The 17,132-nt window shown below is 39.5% G+C and overlaps 1 protein-coding gene across 4 annotated transcripts in view, besides 2 other annotated features; it reads left to right on the top strand.

Moving 5' to 3' along the window:
- EPHA4 (EPH receptor A4) overlaps positions 1-17,132 on the top strand; it is a 156,176-nt gene that overhangs the window by 89,257 nt on the left and 49,787 nt on the right. For all 4 annotated transcript variants that reach the window (NM_001304536.2, NM_001304537.2, NM_004438.5 and 1 more), the window contains one exon: positions 2,256-2,594. In NM_001304536.2, coding sequence (NP_001291465.1) covers positions 2,256-2,594 — 339 coding nt within the window. The remainder of the gene's footprint in view (positions 1-2,255; positions 2,595-17,132) is intronic.
- Positions 15,707-16,312: an enhancer, noted in NCBI's record as "OCT4-NANOG hESC enhancer chr2:222333354-222333959 (GRCh37/hg19 assembly coordinates)". NCBI's record gives its function as "activates a minimal SCP1, AML or CMV promoter by ChIP-STARR-seq in naive H9 embryonic stem cells {active_cell/tissue: H9 hESC(naive)}" and the evidence as "EXISTENCE:reporter gene assay evidence [ECO:0000049][PMID:30033119]".
- Positions 16,313-16,919: an enhancer, noted in NCBI's record as "OCT4-NANOG hESC enhancer chr2:222332747-222333353 (GRCh37/hg19 assembly coordinates)". NCBI's record gives its function as "activates a minimal SCP1, AML or CMV promoter by ChIP-STARR-seq in naive H9 embryonic stem cells {active_cell/tissue: H9 hESC(naive)}" and the evidence as "EXISTENCE:reporter gene assay evidence [ECO:0000049][PMID:30033119]".

The following is a 17,132-nucleotide window of genomic DNA, read 5'->3' as shown; positions in this document are numbered from 1 at the left end:
ACAGGGCTGAAGATAGCTCACTGCCACCTCCATGTTTGCCTTCTCAAACTGGCTGAAATTTTTCCTTTTGTTATCATTATACCTTTAGTGAGGAACACATGGTGGAATAAAAATAACTCCAAATGGCAGATAGTACTTTTGGATTTCAGTCAAATTCTGTCACTAATTAGATTGCATGAACTTTCAGTATTATTAGATTTACTTTCCAGATCTCAGCTTCCTCGTCTTTAAAATAAGGGTATTTGTCCAAATGATTTTAACATCCTATGTAGCTCTTAGAGTCGGTGATTTTATGTACTTCATTTATTCAAAAAGCATTCATTTGTCATTATATTCCAGTTACCATGCTAAAAACTGTAAATGCAGTTTTGAAATCTAAACAAGAAAGAAATTTGTATTTTCTCTCTGAGGACTTATGTGAAGTAATCTTCCCTTTAATACAAATTTTACAATACTTTTGTGAAATGTTTTAAAGGTTTGCATTTTTCTAAGTTTCACAGGATGGGGAGCTGATCTTAATGCTTAAAGAGGTTGTTGGTAATTAGTCCTGAGGGGAGTTTGGGAAGTCCTGCTTACCTTGTTAAAATAAAGTCTTCAATAAGTGGGATAAAGAGAAAAGGAGAGTGAATTACCCTTATTAAATGTTACCACTAAAAAATAATTGGCCATTAATCACTGCAAGCTATGTAATAAATATTGAATATGATTTCTTATTTATAGGTTACCTCTTCCAATTCTATCTCGACAGCCATTTTGAACAGTATGTTTCATTGTGGTAGACTAGGTAAAGCTCATCCAAGTTCATGCAAGCCTCCTGTTAACTTTCTTTTCCTGAGAAACTTGTACTAATTTCCTGCAAAGTAGCCATCTCAATTACATTAGAAGTAGTATAGATAACAGTGATCTAGAAACCTCAAATTTTTCTTAAAACTCATTTTGCTCATCTCTTGGAAGACTGAAATGGGAAAGAAATAGCTTTCCAACTGTCAAACTGAGTAGCTATGTCTCGTTTGAGTGTGGCAGCTACCTTTTAAGCCTTTGGAACTGGTTCAGACCAAGAAAATTCCCTCTCCCTTCTCCCAGCCTGATTCTTCCACTTGAAAGCAGTTTGTGTCACAATTTTTTTGCCCTATTAAGACCAATCATGGCCGGGCATGGTGGCTCACACCTGTAATCCCAGCACTTTGGGAGGCCAAGGTAGGCCGATCACTTGAAATCAGGAGTTCAAGACTGGCCTGGCCAACATGGCCAAACTCCGCCAAAGATAGCAGGTGTGGTGGCACACACCTGTATTTTCAGCTACTTGGGAGGCTGAGGCATGATAATCGCTTGAACCTGGGAGGTGAAAGTTGCAGTGAGCTGAGATCACACCACTGCACTCCAGCCTGGGTGACAGAGCGAGACTCCATCACACACACACACACACACACACACACACACACACAAATCTACATCAAGAAACAAGAGTTTCATCATGATCTATAGTCTTATTTTTTATTATTAATATTATTTTTTAACCAACCAGTATGTTGTCGGTAATCAGTTGTTCTGTTTCATAACAACCACTGCCATCACCCATATTTCAGAAACTCTTTGATGTTGCTGGGAATGCACGAGTTAAAGGGCAGGAGGAGGGGTCTGGGAGCCTTGAACAAAACCCCTGCCATCTCGCCACAGCTGTATCTTCAACATCTCTGCAACCGCGTTAAACCAGTTCGTACTAATTACCCATAAACAGCTTAACCCTCCGCTGCCATGTTGAACTGCAGAGGCACATTTCTACAGTTCTGTTAATTTTATTTGCTATTGATGACATGCTGTACTTAGGAATTATAATTTACCTTCAGAAGTGGTATATAACTATTAATTTATCAGAGTCTCACAACGGCCCTGGGAACTAGAATCACTTTCATTTTTTTAGATGATAAGATGGAACAGATAAATTATGATATTTTTCTGCCACTTCATAGGGAAAGCCTGGGCTTGGAGCCCATTTGCTGGAGAGTTGCTTCACATCTCAAAGTGACAACCGATGCCTTGTTTGTTTGCGTGGGAAAGAGAATGACACTCACGTAACAGCCTTCTATTATATTGTTCTTTTAAAAGATCTTTTATGCTGGCTTGATTTGCTTTTTGCTTTCTTTGCCAAGTGGGTTTGCCTTGCTTTGGAGAGCTGCAGAAAATAATACAAACTCTGAGAGATTCCAAAAGGGTATTTCGGTTCTTGGTGTGATGATGTGGTTTTCTTTCTCCAGGTCCACCATCTGCTCCCCTGAACTTGATTTCAAATGTCAACGAGACATCTGTGAACTTGGAATGGAGTAGCCCTCAGAATACAGGTGGCCGCCAGGACATTTCCTATAATGTGGTATGCAAGAAATGTGGAGCTGGTGACCCCAGCAAGTGCCGACCCTGTGGAAGTGGGGTCCACTACACCCCACAGCAGAATGGCTTGAAGACCACCAAAGTCTCCATCACTGACCTCCTAGCTCATACCAATTACACCTTTGAAATCTGGGCTGTGAATGGAGTGTCCAAATATAACCCTAACCCAGACCAATCAGTTTCTGTCACTGTGACCACCAACCAAGCAGGTAGGAATTGAATCTACTTTATTGTATGATCTGAATGTATACAGAGAAAAGGCTTAAAATAATGAATTATAATAAATTGCTATAATTGAAATAGAATCAATCAAGCCTGGGAGCTGCGTTATAATGTAAAAGATACTTAGGGGCTGGGCACGGTGGCTTACACGTGTAATCCCAGCACTTTGGGAGGCCAGGGCAGGTGGATCACTTGAGCCTGAGAGTTTGATCAAGACCAGACTGGGCAACACGATGACACCCCATCTCTACAAAAAAAATACAAAAATTAGCTAGGCATGGTGGTACAAACCTGTAGTCCCAGCTACTCAGGAGGCTCAGGTGGGAGGATTGCTTGAGCCCAGCAGTCAGAGGTTGCAGTGAGCTGAGTCACTCCATGCTGGATGGGATTCATCTCAGTCATTTGAATTATGATGTCCATGGCTGGACATCAGAGCACTTATAGATTATGTACAATTATAAAATTGATTTTTACCAATGCAGAGTGCTCTTTTGGTATTTGTTATATTTTCTAACAAAAGCATTAGCAGCAATAGTTTTGATCTTATGCTTTAATGTAAAATATTATAAATGATCTAGGTGGACCTATACTAGAACCTCCATGTACATCTTTGTGTCTATAGTTAACGAAGTTTACTTTAAGACACTTAATAGTTTTGCAGCTACTTTTTTCTTTTTTTCTTTTTGAGACAGAGTTTCACTCTGTCGCCCAAGCTGGAATGCAGTGGCGTGATCTCGGCTCACTGCAACCTCCATCTCTGGAGTTCAACCAATTCTTCTGCCTCAGCCTCCCGAGTAGCTGGGACTACAGGCGGGTGCCACCATACCTGGCTAATTTTTATTTGTATTTTTAGTAGAAATGGGGTTTCACCATATTGACCAGGCTGGTCTCGAACTCCTGACCTCGTGATCCGCCCACCTTGGCCTCCCAAAGGGCTGGGATTACAGGCGTGATTGCAGCTACTTTTATAGTTGATTTCTTGATTGACGTGGGGGCTGGGAGGGTGGGGCGGAGGGTGGGGCGGCCAGTCTCCTCCAATTCCTACATCACTTTCTGCTAATACAGATGACTAGAAAACATTTCCTGTTCATGAAGTGTTTCTACTGAGTTAATCGCAGAACTGTCATGAAATCTTGAATATCAAATATTTTGAAAATCTAGGTTTCTAGGCTTTCGCTTCTGACTTACTCATCTGTACTCCTTCCCTGAAAAAGTTACCACCCCTCCAGGAGTTTTACATTGCCGGCTTTTTTATTTCTGGAGAGTTAGAGAGGAGAAGGGAAACAGAGTTAGAGTGGCTTATTCTTTGTGAGGCTCTTGGGATAGAAAACATAGCCAGAAAAGGATTATAAATTGCCAACAATCCTATCGCCTCTAACTGCACTTTTCTTTTAAATGAATGTTTCAGTAAGTGCACTCAATAGTTTAGTAAAATATCTGTACTAATTGATCCTATAAGTGAAAACTATTCCAGTGTCCCAATCCAAAGCCATTATTTTTCCATTTTGCCCTGAACTCTTTGGAATAAATAAAAAGTTAAGACTTGGGGAAGGTTTTGAGCAGGGGCTAGAATGGCAAGTCTTACCGGAATGTATCTTCAGCTCTGCAAATGTGAACAGTCTTTTAAAATATCTAATGTGAACGGGTCATCCAGCTAGGCCTTTGTCTTTTAATTCTGAATTTTTAGGTTGTGAACACTGTTCGCAGTCATTAGTTTTATTTTTCTACAAAGACTAGTATGATTTAGGAGTTTTTGATAGAAACATGAGTACTCTGTGATTGCCAACAGTTTATTAGTTCTCTTTTGGAAGAATGCAATGGAAATATTACATACAGATCCTGGGAACACGCATCGGTGCTGCTGGTCTCTCTGAATTAGGAGCTGATGCAATGCAGAACGATTTCTGCACCATCTGGAGAATCTGGTTGATGATCCAATCAGTATTCTTACATGCAGCCCCCTTCTACCTTTTTGGCTATTCATTCGCAAGCACTACATCATTTTCTTAACCGAATTATAAGTAGGGATGGACTTTTGGAGCCTCATCTGTAAAAGGTGAAGTCATTCTCCTTGGCAGAGAAAAGCCTGTGGGAGATGCGCTGAGGACAGGCTTGGCTCCCACAGATTTTGGGGGAGACTTCTATGACCCCCTGTACACGTAGGGATTTGAGCCAAGAAGTTATGTCAACACCTACTGGGGCAAAAGGTCCAGAGAGCACAAAGAAGACACACTAAAATCCTCCAAAAGAAGAAAATGCAAAAACATTTCCGGGGGTGGGGTGGGGTGGGGTGGGATGAAGTTTTATTTTAAATGTAGGTATAATTCTTCTAGATTTAGGAGAAAAGCAGACAGAGAATTACTCTGACACAATAAGGTTTTCTTTGCCATGGCATGTAGTCCTGCCAAGGAGGTTTGCTGAACAGGACAAAATTCCAGCTCCTTATTTTAATTTTCATGAAGGGTAATGCTGGGAAGCTGTTCAAAATTAAAAATAAATCTTTCAATAAGGAGACCTCCTATGTGGCCAGCCAGAAAGCTTTCACTTAGTAGAGAATTGTATATGTGCAGAGCACTGCTTCATTATCCTATCATAATTTGAAGTTCTCTAATTCAAGTCATCAGGATAGTTTATCTTTGATTAACAAACCCTTTCTTCATAGTAGTGCAAATTAATAATGTAGGCCAAAATTCGGGTGAATGTAGCAACCGTAAACTCTATCGAAGCTCCCCTAAGCATATTTACATACACACAATTATGTTCTAATTGCAATTGCTCCTATCATTTCATTAAATTAAATTCCTTGAGGACCACTATAGGCAATGGTGTCTCACTCTATAAGGAATACATAGAATTAATGAACGTTAGCATTTAGCACCTGGAGGCTACAAAAGTTAGTGGTTCTCCATCTTTGCTCTGTTTTCACAGGGTTCTTTCTCTCATCAGTAATATGTTAGAAATGATAAATCAAATCAATCACGCAAAACCTGCTAGAATTCTTGGGTCCTATGTTCACCACCTTTGAGACTTTAAGAGTTGAGGAGCAGCTCCATGAAGGTGAGGTGACTCACCCATGCTAATGTCAGAGCCAGTACTAAAAAGCAGGGAGAATCCTACTCCTGAAAGTAGAAAGTTGCTTTCCTTTAAAATTAGGAGATAATGAATGGCATTCATGTATTCAGCTTGGCATTCTCCCCATTTATGAGACCAGATTATGTGAGTATCTGGGCATGGACATGGAGATTGAACTGGGCTTTGATCATTTAATTGTAGAATGTGGTGTGAATGGGCCTGTGTTCTCACAAGGTTATTTAAACAATCCTAACCCAAATCTTACTCCTGGGGTCTTAGGGGGTTAATAAACACCCTTTTGCTCCCCTTCTGGGTTGAAAACCAGTTGACACAGAAGACAAAGGAAATCTGAATGTCTGTCAGCTTTTTGCTGATAAGCTGATGGAAGGATGTGAGCTTTATATCTGTGGCCAAAAGGGCTTGCTTCAGTGACACTTGCAGCCCAGCTGGCTACCTGCAGCCTCTCCGCCTGCCCTGCTAAGGTTGTTGGAAGGACACTCTGTGCAGGCAGACAGGTAGGCAGATAGGCAGATAGGCAGATAGACAGGTCTGAGAGTGGGTGGAGCTGAGGACAGAGTACTTTTCCCAAATTCTCTAATGAGATGAGTCACTCCCAGCCTCACCCCCATGCCAGAAACAATGAAGGGAAGAGGTGGGAAAAGAGTAAGGGTGGGGGTGTTACTTTTCCAGCTGAAGTCGTACCCAGTAAAATTGGAGAAGAGGAAGCTCTTGGAGCTCCCCCAATAGTTACTTTTCTACATTACAGGCCAAAAGGAGGAAAATGAGATTCCAGTTTCCTTCATCTTTCATCCTGTAGCGACTGTTTTGTCTTTTGTTTAGAAGCAGGTAGTCCTGATGTTTATGAAAAATGGATAAGCAAACTGCTGGGTGATTTGTTTTCTGGATGGCTTTCCTTTGGTTTACTTTCACTTAAGTGGACCATCTCAGGCAAATGAATACAGGATGTGTCACTAGGAGGGAGAAATACTGTATAAATGAAACAAGGTTTTCTGGCCAAGCAACAGACCTGTGAATATTTTTTTTTTGTTAAAAAGGCTGTGATGGCAGCCAGCAGTAGCTTAATATCTCTGAACGGTTTTTTGCCGTTCATCTCCCATCGCCTTTGCTTGGTTTTCTAGCTGTGAGGCTGGACCATATTCTGGCGTTTTAAATCATTATGGTCCCAACCCCCATGAATGGTGTTCCCTCCTCACCCCAAATTGCACCCAGGGCCGGTGTTGTCCATTTTTTATTTTTACTTTGCATGTGATGCTATTCTAGATACTTCATAATGGAAAGATCTGGTCATCTCTCTCTAGCACAGCTATGGTGTCCTAGTGACAAACAAACATCTGTAGCATGCTTAGTTTGGAGGAGTTAAAATATTTGATGCATTACGTAATTATTTAAACCAGCTAATCTCTAAGATCTTTTCCGTTTCAAAATTCTATGATTCTAAGTATGTAACCCTGAGCTGTGGGCTATGAACCTGAAGAAGTAAGGCTTATTCTTCTAACATGTTTAGAAATGGTCTCTCAATGCAATTCTAAGAGTGGGAAAACATTCTCCAAATGCTTCAGCAGAATTATCACCTGAATTCTGCCTGCCCTCCTTCTCTCTAATTCCTTGCCTTGCCAAGGGATTTACGTTGCGGGGGGAAAACAGTAAGATAGTGAACAGTTGTTCTAAATTGGGGGTGATTTCTGCTCCTACCCCTAATGGGCAATGTTTAGAGGCAATTTTTGGTGCAGTTGCATCTAGTGGGTAGAAGCCAGGCAGGCTGATAAACATCTTATAATTCACAACACAGCATCCCCAATCCTCCGCAATGAAGAATTTTCTGGTCCAAAATGTCCATAGGGCTAAGGCTGAAAAACTCTGTTCTAGCAATAGTTTTTAAGAACAGACTTCATAGCAGTGCCCACCATTTCAGGGTTCCATAGCCATGTGGCCTTTGCTTGAGCTGGCCTGTGGCTGAACACATAGGGAAGATTCCACATTTCTCTGGCTCCATTGCCCCATGCTGAAAGCATGATGCTCCCGTTACTGTTCTCAGAGAACAGGCAGTTGTAAAGGGCCTTTCAAGGCCCCTCATGAATCCTGTTGTAGCTGTTTTGCCATCAGATGAACGGGCGCTGCTTGTTAGGCTGACCTTGTTCTCTAGGGTTGGACAATTAAGCATTAACTGCAAAATAATAATAATAATAATAATAATAATAAAATAAAGTGGCATTACACCTCATTATAATGCCACTGTGCCACATGTAGTCATTGTACAGTTCCATCTGTTTGTTGATTAACATTTATTTACAGTAAAATCAAATCAGTTAACTCTCTTTGTCAAGTAATGATAAATTTAATAAAACCAAAATAATGAATAAAGAAAAGAAATAACTAAGTGTAAGAGGCACACTGTCTTTTATTATTCAACTGGTAAGTTCCCATTCTTTCTCTCTCTGCCATCTTTTAATTAGACATATTATGTTATTTGAGTGGGATAATGGAGAACAGTGGGAATTCTCATCCCCACTGGGTATAATTGCTACCTGTCTTCTAGATAGTAAGAGGAAAGCTTCAAGAAAATGGTGGGAGAAAGGGGAAAATCTTACAGCAATCAATTTAGGTAATATGCTGTAGGCATGGCAGAGCCAGACTTTGTGGAGTTTAAAGCTTAAACAACTATTGTGTGATTAAGGGTGAAAACATAAAACCCTACAAAATTACAAATGTCAGACTAGTAACAGAGCTTCAGAAAGGGTCCATACAAACTTCTTTAGCTTCGGTAAATAAAAATCTGCCTCTGACTATGTTGAGATAAATGCAATTGTCAGACAACAAGACTATTGCATAATCATCCCTAAAAACAGAAAGGACAAGGGAGAAAGATGAGATGTTGGGAAGTCCAGTTTGGCCTGAAATGAAGGTGTTGAAAGACAGGTTGTGACAGTGAGTGGTTCTGGCCCACAGTTAGGTATGAGGGGCACCTCTGGAGTGGACCTGAGTTGTGGTCTGAGATCAAAGGGACAAGCAGAAAGCACATTCCTGCTGATTCTGAGAATTGTTTTGGAATACTAAACCTAAATGAGATGATGTGATCTCGGTTCATGCAACCACTGCCTCCCAGGTTCCAGCGATTCTCATGCCTCAGCTTCCTGAGTAGCTGGGATTACAGGCGGGCGCCACCACATCCAGCTAAGTTTTCTATTTTTTAGTAGAGATGGGGTTTTCCATGTTGCCCAGGCTGGTCTCAAATACCTGGCCTCAAGTGCATCCATCTGCTTCAGCCTCCCAAAGTTCTGGGATTACAGGTGTGAGCCACCTCACCTGGCCAAATGATGATATTTTTAAGACACAAATGTTTGCTTCCTTTAGTGCCCTAAAGCAGGGGTCAGCAAGCTATGGCCCAAGGGCCAAATCGAATCCTCCAGATTGGGACAACCCACGAATATTGGCTTTTATATTTCTAATGGGTTCAACATAATAAAAAACAGAATAATATTTTGTGACATTTGGAAATTATATAAAATTCAAGTATTGGCATTCATAAATAAAGTTTTACTGGAACAAATTCCCACTCATGTGTTTATATATTGTGTAAGAGTGTTTTCACGTGACAATGGCATAGTTGAGTAGCTGCAACAGAGGGCAAATGTCCGGCAAAGCGAACATGGGCACTATCTCACTGCTGACACAAAATGTTTGCTGATCTGCTCTGGAGTACTAAATCAAGAAAGGAGACCAGTAAGAACAAGGTTGAGAAGCTATTGAAATACTGGTATCATTTGTGGAATATTGTTTTGGCAAAGGATGTGATGGGTAACATTTAGGTAAATCTCACATTTGAAACAATCTTCAAGACACCTTATTTTGTAAAGGTTTTGACTCAGAAAAAAAATTAACTAAAATAATTAGGATTTCAGTCATAACTTTGCTTTCTTGAACCACAAATTTTTTCCCATTGGCACTCAGATTTAAATGGATTATGTGAGACATGCTTCACTGATATTCTGGTTCTCTTTAAAGTATGCATTCTTCACACTATTGCCTAGGTCCTATAGTTGCTGACAGCAATTTTCTTTTTAAATAATTCTATGTTAGCCTGGTGCAGCGGCTCACGCCTGTAATCCCAGTACTTTGGGAGGCTAGGGCGAGTGGATCACTTGAGCCCAAGAGTTCAAGACCAGCCTACCCAACATGGCAAAAACCCATCTCTACTAAAAATACCAAAATTAGACGGGTGTTGTGGTGCACGCCTGTAATCCCAGCTACTCAGGAGACTGAGGCACACGAGAATTGCTTGAACCCAGGAGGTGGAGGCTGCAGTGAGCCAAGATCTTGCCACTGCATTCTAGCCTGGATGACAGAGTGAGACTCGATCTCAAAATAATAATAATTCTATGCTCTGCTCCTGTGCCTTATCTTCTCTCCGAGATGATGTCATGCTTGCCTTTGATCTCCAGTAAATCGTGTTATTTTTCCTTACCCCTAAGAAATTTAAAGGAAAAACAAATGATGGTACTAGTGAAATCGAGAAAATGAAGAACTCCTTCTAGAGATTCATTTTAAAATCCTTCAAACAGACAACAAAGCAATTCCACTGAGAGATTTTGCTGAAACGTTGTTTGCGCATCCTCAGTTGTTAGTAGGGAATCGGTAGCTGGTTGGAGAGTCCTTTCTGTGCCTGGTAATTATAGGCCCAAGCAAGCACACAATGAGCTTCAGAGGAGCCAGGCTGTGGTTTTCTCATTAATAGCTCTGGTCTAGCCATGGGATCCTGGTTTACTTCATAAGGCCTATGAAATGCACATTTAAAAACAACATGCGGTACTTTTTTTTTTTTTTTTAAGAAACAGTCTCTTGATTCTAACCTTATACTGAGAAGAATTTCATTTCCAGAATACTGTTGCTACCACTATAATTAATAAGCATACTCACTAATTATGATCGTAATTAAAAATAAAATAAACCAGCAGATATACAATGGCGCAGCCTCTTGTGTGTGGCACCAGTGTCTGTGAATTTGTATTCGGGGTGGGTGCCACAAGTCCTGGTGAGGAGAAAAAAAAATAAAAGCCTGCCAAAAGAGCCTACTAAATTATCCAACTTTTCAAGGTTGACTGAATAGCACAGACAAATAGTATGTCTATAGAACGTAGTGGTAATTATTGCATATAAGCAAAAGTTAGATTGCATTTTTTTAAAAAAGATGTGAATATTCCACTCTAAGAAAATGAAGTCTTTATTTATACACCCAGGACTGAGAACACTATTTTTCCTGAGTCCTTTCCTTTTGCTCCTACAGAAAGATATATGCATGTTCATTTGTAAGAAGAGAAATTCATTCACCAGTAATCACTTGACAGCCTAATTCTGGTTTGTTTCTCATCTCTCAGTGTTGTGCTTGTTCCATCGAACACTAACCACCAACTTTTACACCCTCTGGAGAAGCCATCAAGAGATTTAAAAAATAAGTGCCTGGCTGAGATGAGAAATGGGCAGGGCAGGGCTAGCAAGGGTTTCCAATGGGCTTCTAAATTATCTAGTTGTCACTCCAACTGGCTCAATTAATTACTGTCTCCCCAGAGGAGCCAGATGGGTCTCCAGAAACCAGTCTGCAATTGAACATCAATGAAAAGATCCAGAGAAACTTTATCAAAGCTTCCATTAACCCCCTGCTGATGTCTTTAAATAGTTTTTTTTTTTTTTTTTTTTTTCCTTTAAACACCTTGAAAACCCAAAAGCCATGCACAGGACTTATCTTGCATTAAGAGATCTTAAATCTACAGGGACTAATTGAAATGCCTGTCCATGTCACTCAAATACATAGAGAATTCTTCTGAGTCTCAACATCCCTGTGGCATTTTTGTGATGTGGGTATACAATAAGAGGGTATCCTGTATATTTTCTTCAGGTAAAGACTGGTGAGGATGTTTTTTAGGGTTTACATGTTAATCTGTCAAGATAAGCAAACCTTTGGTCTATCTGTCAGTATTAAAAATATCTCTCTTATTTAATGAACCTTCTTCTGGTGTCCACCTTTCCACCCGCCACCCCCACAACCTGTACTCATGCTTTCTCATTCTTTGCTTCTGCCAAAATTAGAAATGAAAGAGGTTCCCCAGGCTCCCCTGAAACGGCAATGATAAAAACGAGAGATGGTGCCAGTCAGTGTGGTCGCTTGCCTAGTGAACCCCTTGGCTTCCTCATTGGGAAATGTCACTAATGATTGGTTCCATAGGTGAGGGCTGGCACCCAGAGCACTGTGGGAATCTGGCTGAATGGTCATCAAAATGTCCGCCTATATAGACACAGAGTTGAAGAAATCACTCTTAGATTCCATTTCTTCTTTCTCTATTCTGACAAATTGGTAGGCCTGATCTAAACGAACTGTACTGTGGTTCTCCTCTGACCATCTTTTGGGTTTTGTTTTGTTATGAAAAAGTACAGGGACCACTCCCTGAAATCTATCTAAAATACTTTATGTGTAAAATTATAGAGACACGAAATATTTTTTCTATTACTATTCTATTCTTGCTGTTACTCTTGGGAGGGGCAAGGGGAGAAAAGATAAAGAACTATGGTCCATCCCTTTTTGATTCATATCTTCCAGTACACAATTTTTTCAGGCAGTTTGTTTATCACTTTCAAAAAAATCCTTTTAATAAAGGCTGTGGGACAGATAAGTTTTTTAAAAATTCTTGTCTAGGAACCTTTTGTCTGTGACATGTGCATACAAACAAGACTTAAATATGTAGCTTCAACTTCTCAGTGGGTGCTAAATAGTGACCTGCCACCAATAGACTCACAGTGTGTTCCAAGCTTGGGTAAGATCCATCCATTAGCACAAACACTGAAAAGGGGGTAGCTTACAACGGCTCCCTGGAGAATTTGTGTTTTTCTAGATAACATACTGCAAGCTGGAAATCTGCCTCTTGAATCAACCCTAATTTTTTTTTTTTTTTTTTTGTAAAATAAGTGCGTATTTTGAGCATAAACCTGAAGTTAAATAGGAGCACAGTTTCGTTCATGTTTCTTTTTCAAAGCTAGGACCACACATATAAACAAGCCAGGGATTTTTAATATGTAACCAGCAGAAAGCTTGATCAAGTGTTCTCTATACTCTCAAGTGTAATTAAAGACTTCTTTTTATCTAAAGATAAAGAAATAAGATAACCAAAGACTTTTATTTTATCTGAAAATTATTGATGAGGCTCATGTTGAAACCCAATGAATCTAATCCCAATCCTATAGGGTTCCCAGGAGGGTGTGGTTTTAGGAAACTTCTTAGGAGACTTGGAAATCCTTGGAGCTAACATCATCTCATTTCTCTCCATTTACAGTAGGAGTAGGGTTATTATTAAGGTTTGTGATAAAGGTTCTTATTGTTTTGTTTTATATTAGAAGCAAGGAGAACAACTAGCAGAGCCTTACCCCCTCTGAAAGTATCCTTTTGTAGCCATGAACAGTGGACAGAAAATTTAAGAAGCATACACTGTGTTTACAGCCTTCATTGTACACTCCAATACAGAACAGTCAACTAATTCAGGTGCGGCTCCAAGGGGCTGGTAATATATTTAAGAAACCCTTATATTATGTAAAGATGTATTGTTTGGGGAGAAATATCAATGAGAGCCCTTTCTATCTCACTGTAAACTCTTCAAGGATTCACCTTAACTGTACGTGTTTGTTGGAGGGTAGCATTTTCTCTTTCCCTCCACTTCTTTTTCCTCTACCTATTTCAGAAAACACAAAAATAATTTCCATTAACTTCCAATAACTTCCTCCATAGTGTGCAGGAGCTTTCCTCCAGTGTCTTTCTTAGATATCATGCTGTGGAACTATTTCTAGGTAAGATGCAATTCTAATAAACTCCTCCAGTATTTAGGAATGGACTAAATACTGACTTCTTTGGGTGGAGCCAGTTATGCTGAATTTCACACTTCAGCAAATTGAGTTCATGAGAGAGGCCCCTGTGACATGCTGTGAACCCCCTGGTTTTCTTTCTTTCTTCCTTTTTTTAAAAAAATAAAAACAAAAACAAAAAACAAGTCCTAAAACAGTAATAGCTTTCGTAATACATTCTTTATTATTTCTTATGACTACAAAAGTCATCTCAATTCTCAATTCTCAAACACAGATCCAGTTGAAGATATCTACTGACCTTAATAACATTTTAAAATTTAATAGCTCAGTTGTTTCTGCCCCATTCTTATAATGCCTATAGAAATTTAAACTATCTAGCACATAGAACTTAGTTTCTAGCTGATACTCTAAAAATAAAAAATAAAATAAAAATACAATTCTAGGGTTACAGATTTCCAAGCTTAAAACCTCTTCTCCTAAATGATTATCCTGTTCCTAACCTGTACCATAGCTTTTGAGAAAATTGTCAAAAAGACAGATTTTCAAATATGAGGTCTGCAAGAACATAATTGCATGGCCACATTTTCAGAGAGCGTAGCATGTGGTGACCATTTGTGTAAGATGCATTCTCAAAATGTTCTGACTGTAATTTAACCCAAAGGTCTCTATCCCACTTCTTTCCACTCACCAGGTGCTTCCTTACACTTGTCTACATAGCAAGCAAGAAACAGGGCAGGAAAGATTTCTTCTTTATAAAAAAGGTTCCCTAAAGTGATACTTTAGGGAAAAGCAGGTTCCCTAAAGTGATACTTTAGGGAAAAGCAGAGGTTCCCTAAAGTGATACTTTAGGGAAAAGCAGAGGTTCCCTAAAGTGATACTAAAACCCACCTTCTCAGCATTCTATGGGTCATGAATATTGTCCTCAGAATATTTTGATCCCCTGTGTTTGGAACTTCCCTAGACTTCCATCCAGTAGAACCAAACTGGCAATAAGAAACATGAGGAGTCTCAGAACTTCACCCCAATGGCCTTCTTCCTGTTTCTCTCTCTCTCTCTCTCTCTCCCCCCCGCCCTTTCTCTCTCTGTCTCTCTCCCCTATTTGTAACATTCTAGTTTATACTGTCCGTGATCATCACTTCTCAGTCCTTAGACATTGTGCTTTAAGCCAAGCAACACTTGGACTTGGAAAAATTCCAAATAGCACAGAACACATTGATTTACAACTGAATTTTTACCACCATGTTTCCTCTGACTCTCTGGCCTTGTCAGGAATCATTGGTAGCCTATGATTTCATGCTATAATTTATACTTTGTCAATATGTGTCATTTTTTCCTCTGTTCTGCCTGTGTGTTTTAAGTGCAACAAGAGAAAGAAATAGAAGTTGCTAAAAAATAATTTCATAGATCTAAAGGACAGTGGCTGGTAACAATGCTAAAGAGCATCTATCTTCAATTTATGGTCACCATGACATGTTTTGGAGCAGCTCACGTGATCTTTTTAAATGACGATTAAAAAACTAGGTATCCCATTCCAACAGTATATCTGATGGAGAATTGGATGGCTTGGAAGATGACTAATGGGATTCTGGACCTTTCTGTCTTTAGGTCACCTCCTTGAATGGGGACTATATCATAAGTGGTCCAAGGCCCGGCCATTTGGCAGCCGTAGAATGACTATGTTAATGGAATTGGTCTCAGTCCAGGTCTTAGTCGACAGGTGCTCATATCATAAGTGACGTTTATTGACTCCCAACTCTTTCAACTTGGAAGACAGTGGACCATCACTGAGATAGTGATGAAGACGGAGTAATTTATAATATATTCAGGCTCCATTGAAAGCCAAGGAATTCAGCCCCTTGAGCTGGCACCTTGCAAATATTGTACTTGTCTCATGGGTTCTGTTAGTTTGAGAAATAAAAAATAGAAATCTAATTTAAAAGGATTTCTAATAACTCAGAATAGCTAATGTTGGTTTCCTCTGAGGTCATATGAGCCTCTCGTGTTGGTGCTTTTCTCTTCATTGTGTATTATAGTGATTAGATATTGGCTATGAAAATTATTACTTTTCATTTGTTTGTGTGTTTGGAGGTTGATTACCTAGTCACTTGTTTATAACAAAAGCTGTAAATGATACTCTTTGACAGAGTTAAATAAGGCTATCTTCATGCCCTTGTGAAATGGAAATTGATGAAAATGTAACACTGAGTACCTTTTATCAACATAAATTTCAAAACATGGAATTCAGAAGGATTCATCCAACACATACTCTTTTCTATTATCTGGATTAATATACCTCACTTCATTCATTCACTCTAATCAGGTTCATGACCTGAAGATGATTTGGCCCCTGTTGGAAGAGATCGTTAGTATTACTAGTATATTAATGTTTTGCCCATTGATGTTTTCTGGGTTCATCCACTGACTTTTTCTTTAACTTCACAGATGATTTGGATTTCCCTATAGCAAGTGGCAAAGCCACAACACTTCTGAATTAGTTATCACACTTAAAAAGTCAAGATGACAACAACCATAGTGGATCTATTTATTGAAGCAGACAGGCTCTTTTAGCGGAATGATCAATGTCTTACCTCTTTCTGAAAGGCTTTTCAGAGGTAGGAAATCATCAAGCATCTGATATAAAGTAATGAACAAGGCTTTTGATTGGTCAAGTTTCTGGAGCAGGCTTTTAAGTATTTCTGCCTGTAAATGTAGAAATCTGAGTGTGAAAAGTAAAGGCAACAGCAAAGATTTACTGGGTGCATCTATCACCCTGGCTTTTAGAGTCTTTGTGATTAATACCTGTTTAATTGGGGACTGATCTAGATGCTTTGGACGTCAGAAAGCTAAATGTTACAGCATTGTCTCATGGGTTCCTAACACAGCAGGACGATTAGCAGCTGTCTGAGTAACAAAGAGAACCTGAAGCCTACAAGCTTAGCTTTTTATTTTCCAGATTTGGAATGCTTGAAGCTCCCTGGTGGAGTTAACAGCAAAAGGAATAGAAGCCTTGATGCATAGCAGCTAATCCTTTCCTTTCTCTTTTCTGTATTCTGCTCAGTAAAAATGAACCTTTTCCTTACATTGTTCTCCATATTCCAAATTAATTTTGGAGAGCATTTTTTTTGTTGGTTATTTGTTTAAAAAATAATTTTGGGGGGCCTTTTTTTTTTCCTCTGATCTTCCCTAGGAAGTGATTGGAGGGCATTGTAGGTCATGGAGACCCCCATTTGGTGAAGGTTCACCATCCTGTCTAACCAAGTTACACATAAAATAATTTCAACTAAGAGTGGAAACACTAGATAACTGTCAACACTACTTTTAGGCCCAGTGAGAAGATTCATCTCACTAGAAGCATTCAGAGAAAAAAATGTATATTTATTTTTTGTTGTTGTTGCTAGTTTCACCCCATTTTCTTACCTTAAAACAATCATCTTGCTCAGGCAAATTCTTCTAAACTGCCTTCCAGTGGAAAGACTTGTTTTCCTGTTTGCCTCAAACTGGCATTCTTACTTATAACAGGAAACACACACATTGAATCCTGCCATGTTTCTGTTGGCAAGTGTTGAGCTATCCTTGTCAGAACCTGCCAA

The sequence above is a fragment of the Homo sapiens genome, chromosome 2 (genome assembly GCF_000001405.40).
Source record: "Homo sapiens chromosome 2, GRCh38.p14 Primary Assembly".
In the NCBI taxonomy this organism is placed as follows: domain Eukaryota; kingdom Metazoa; phylum Chordata; class Mammalia; order Primates; family Hominidae; genus Homo; species Homo sapiens.
This window is presented reverse-complemented; position numbering and strand designations above follow the sequence as displayed.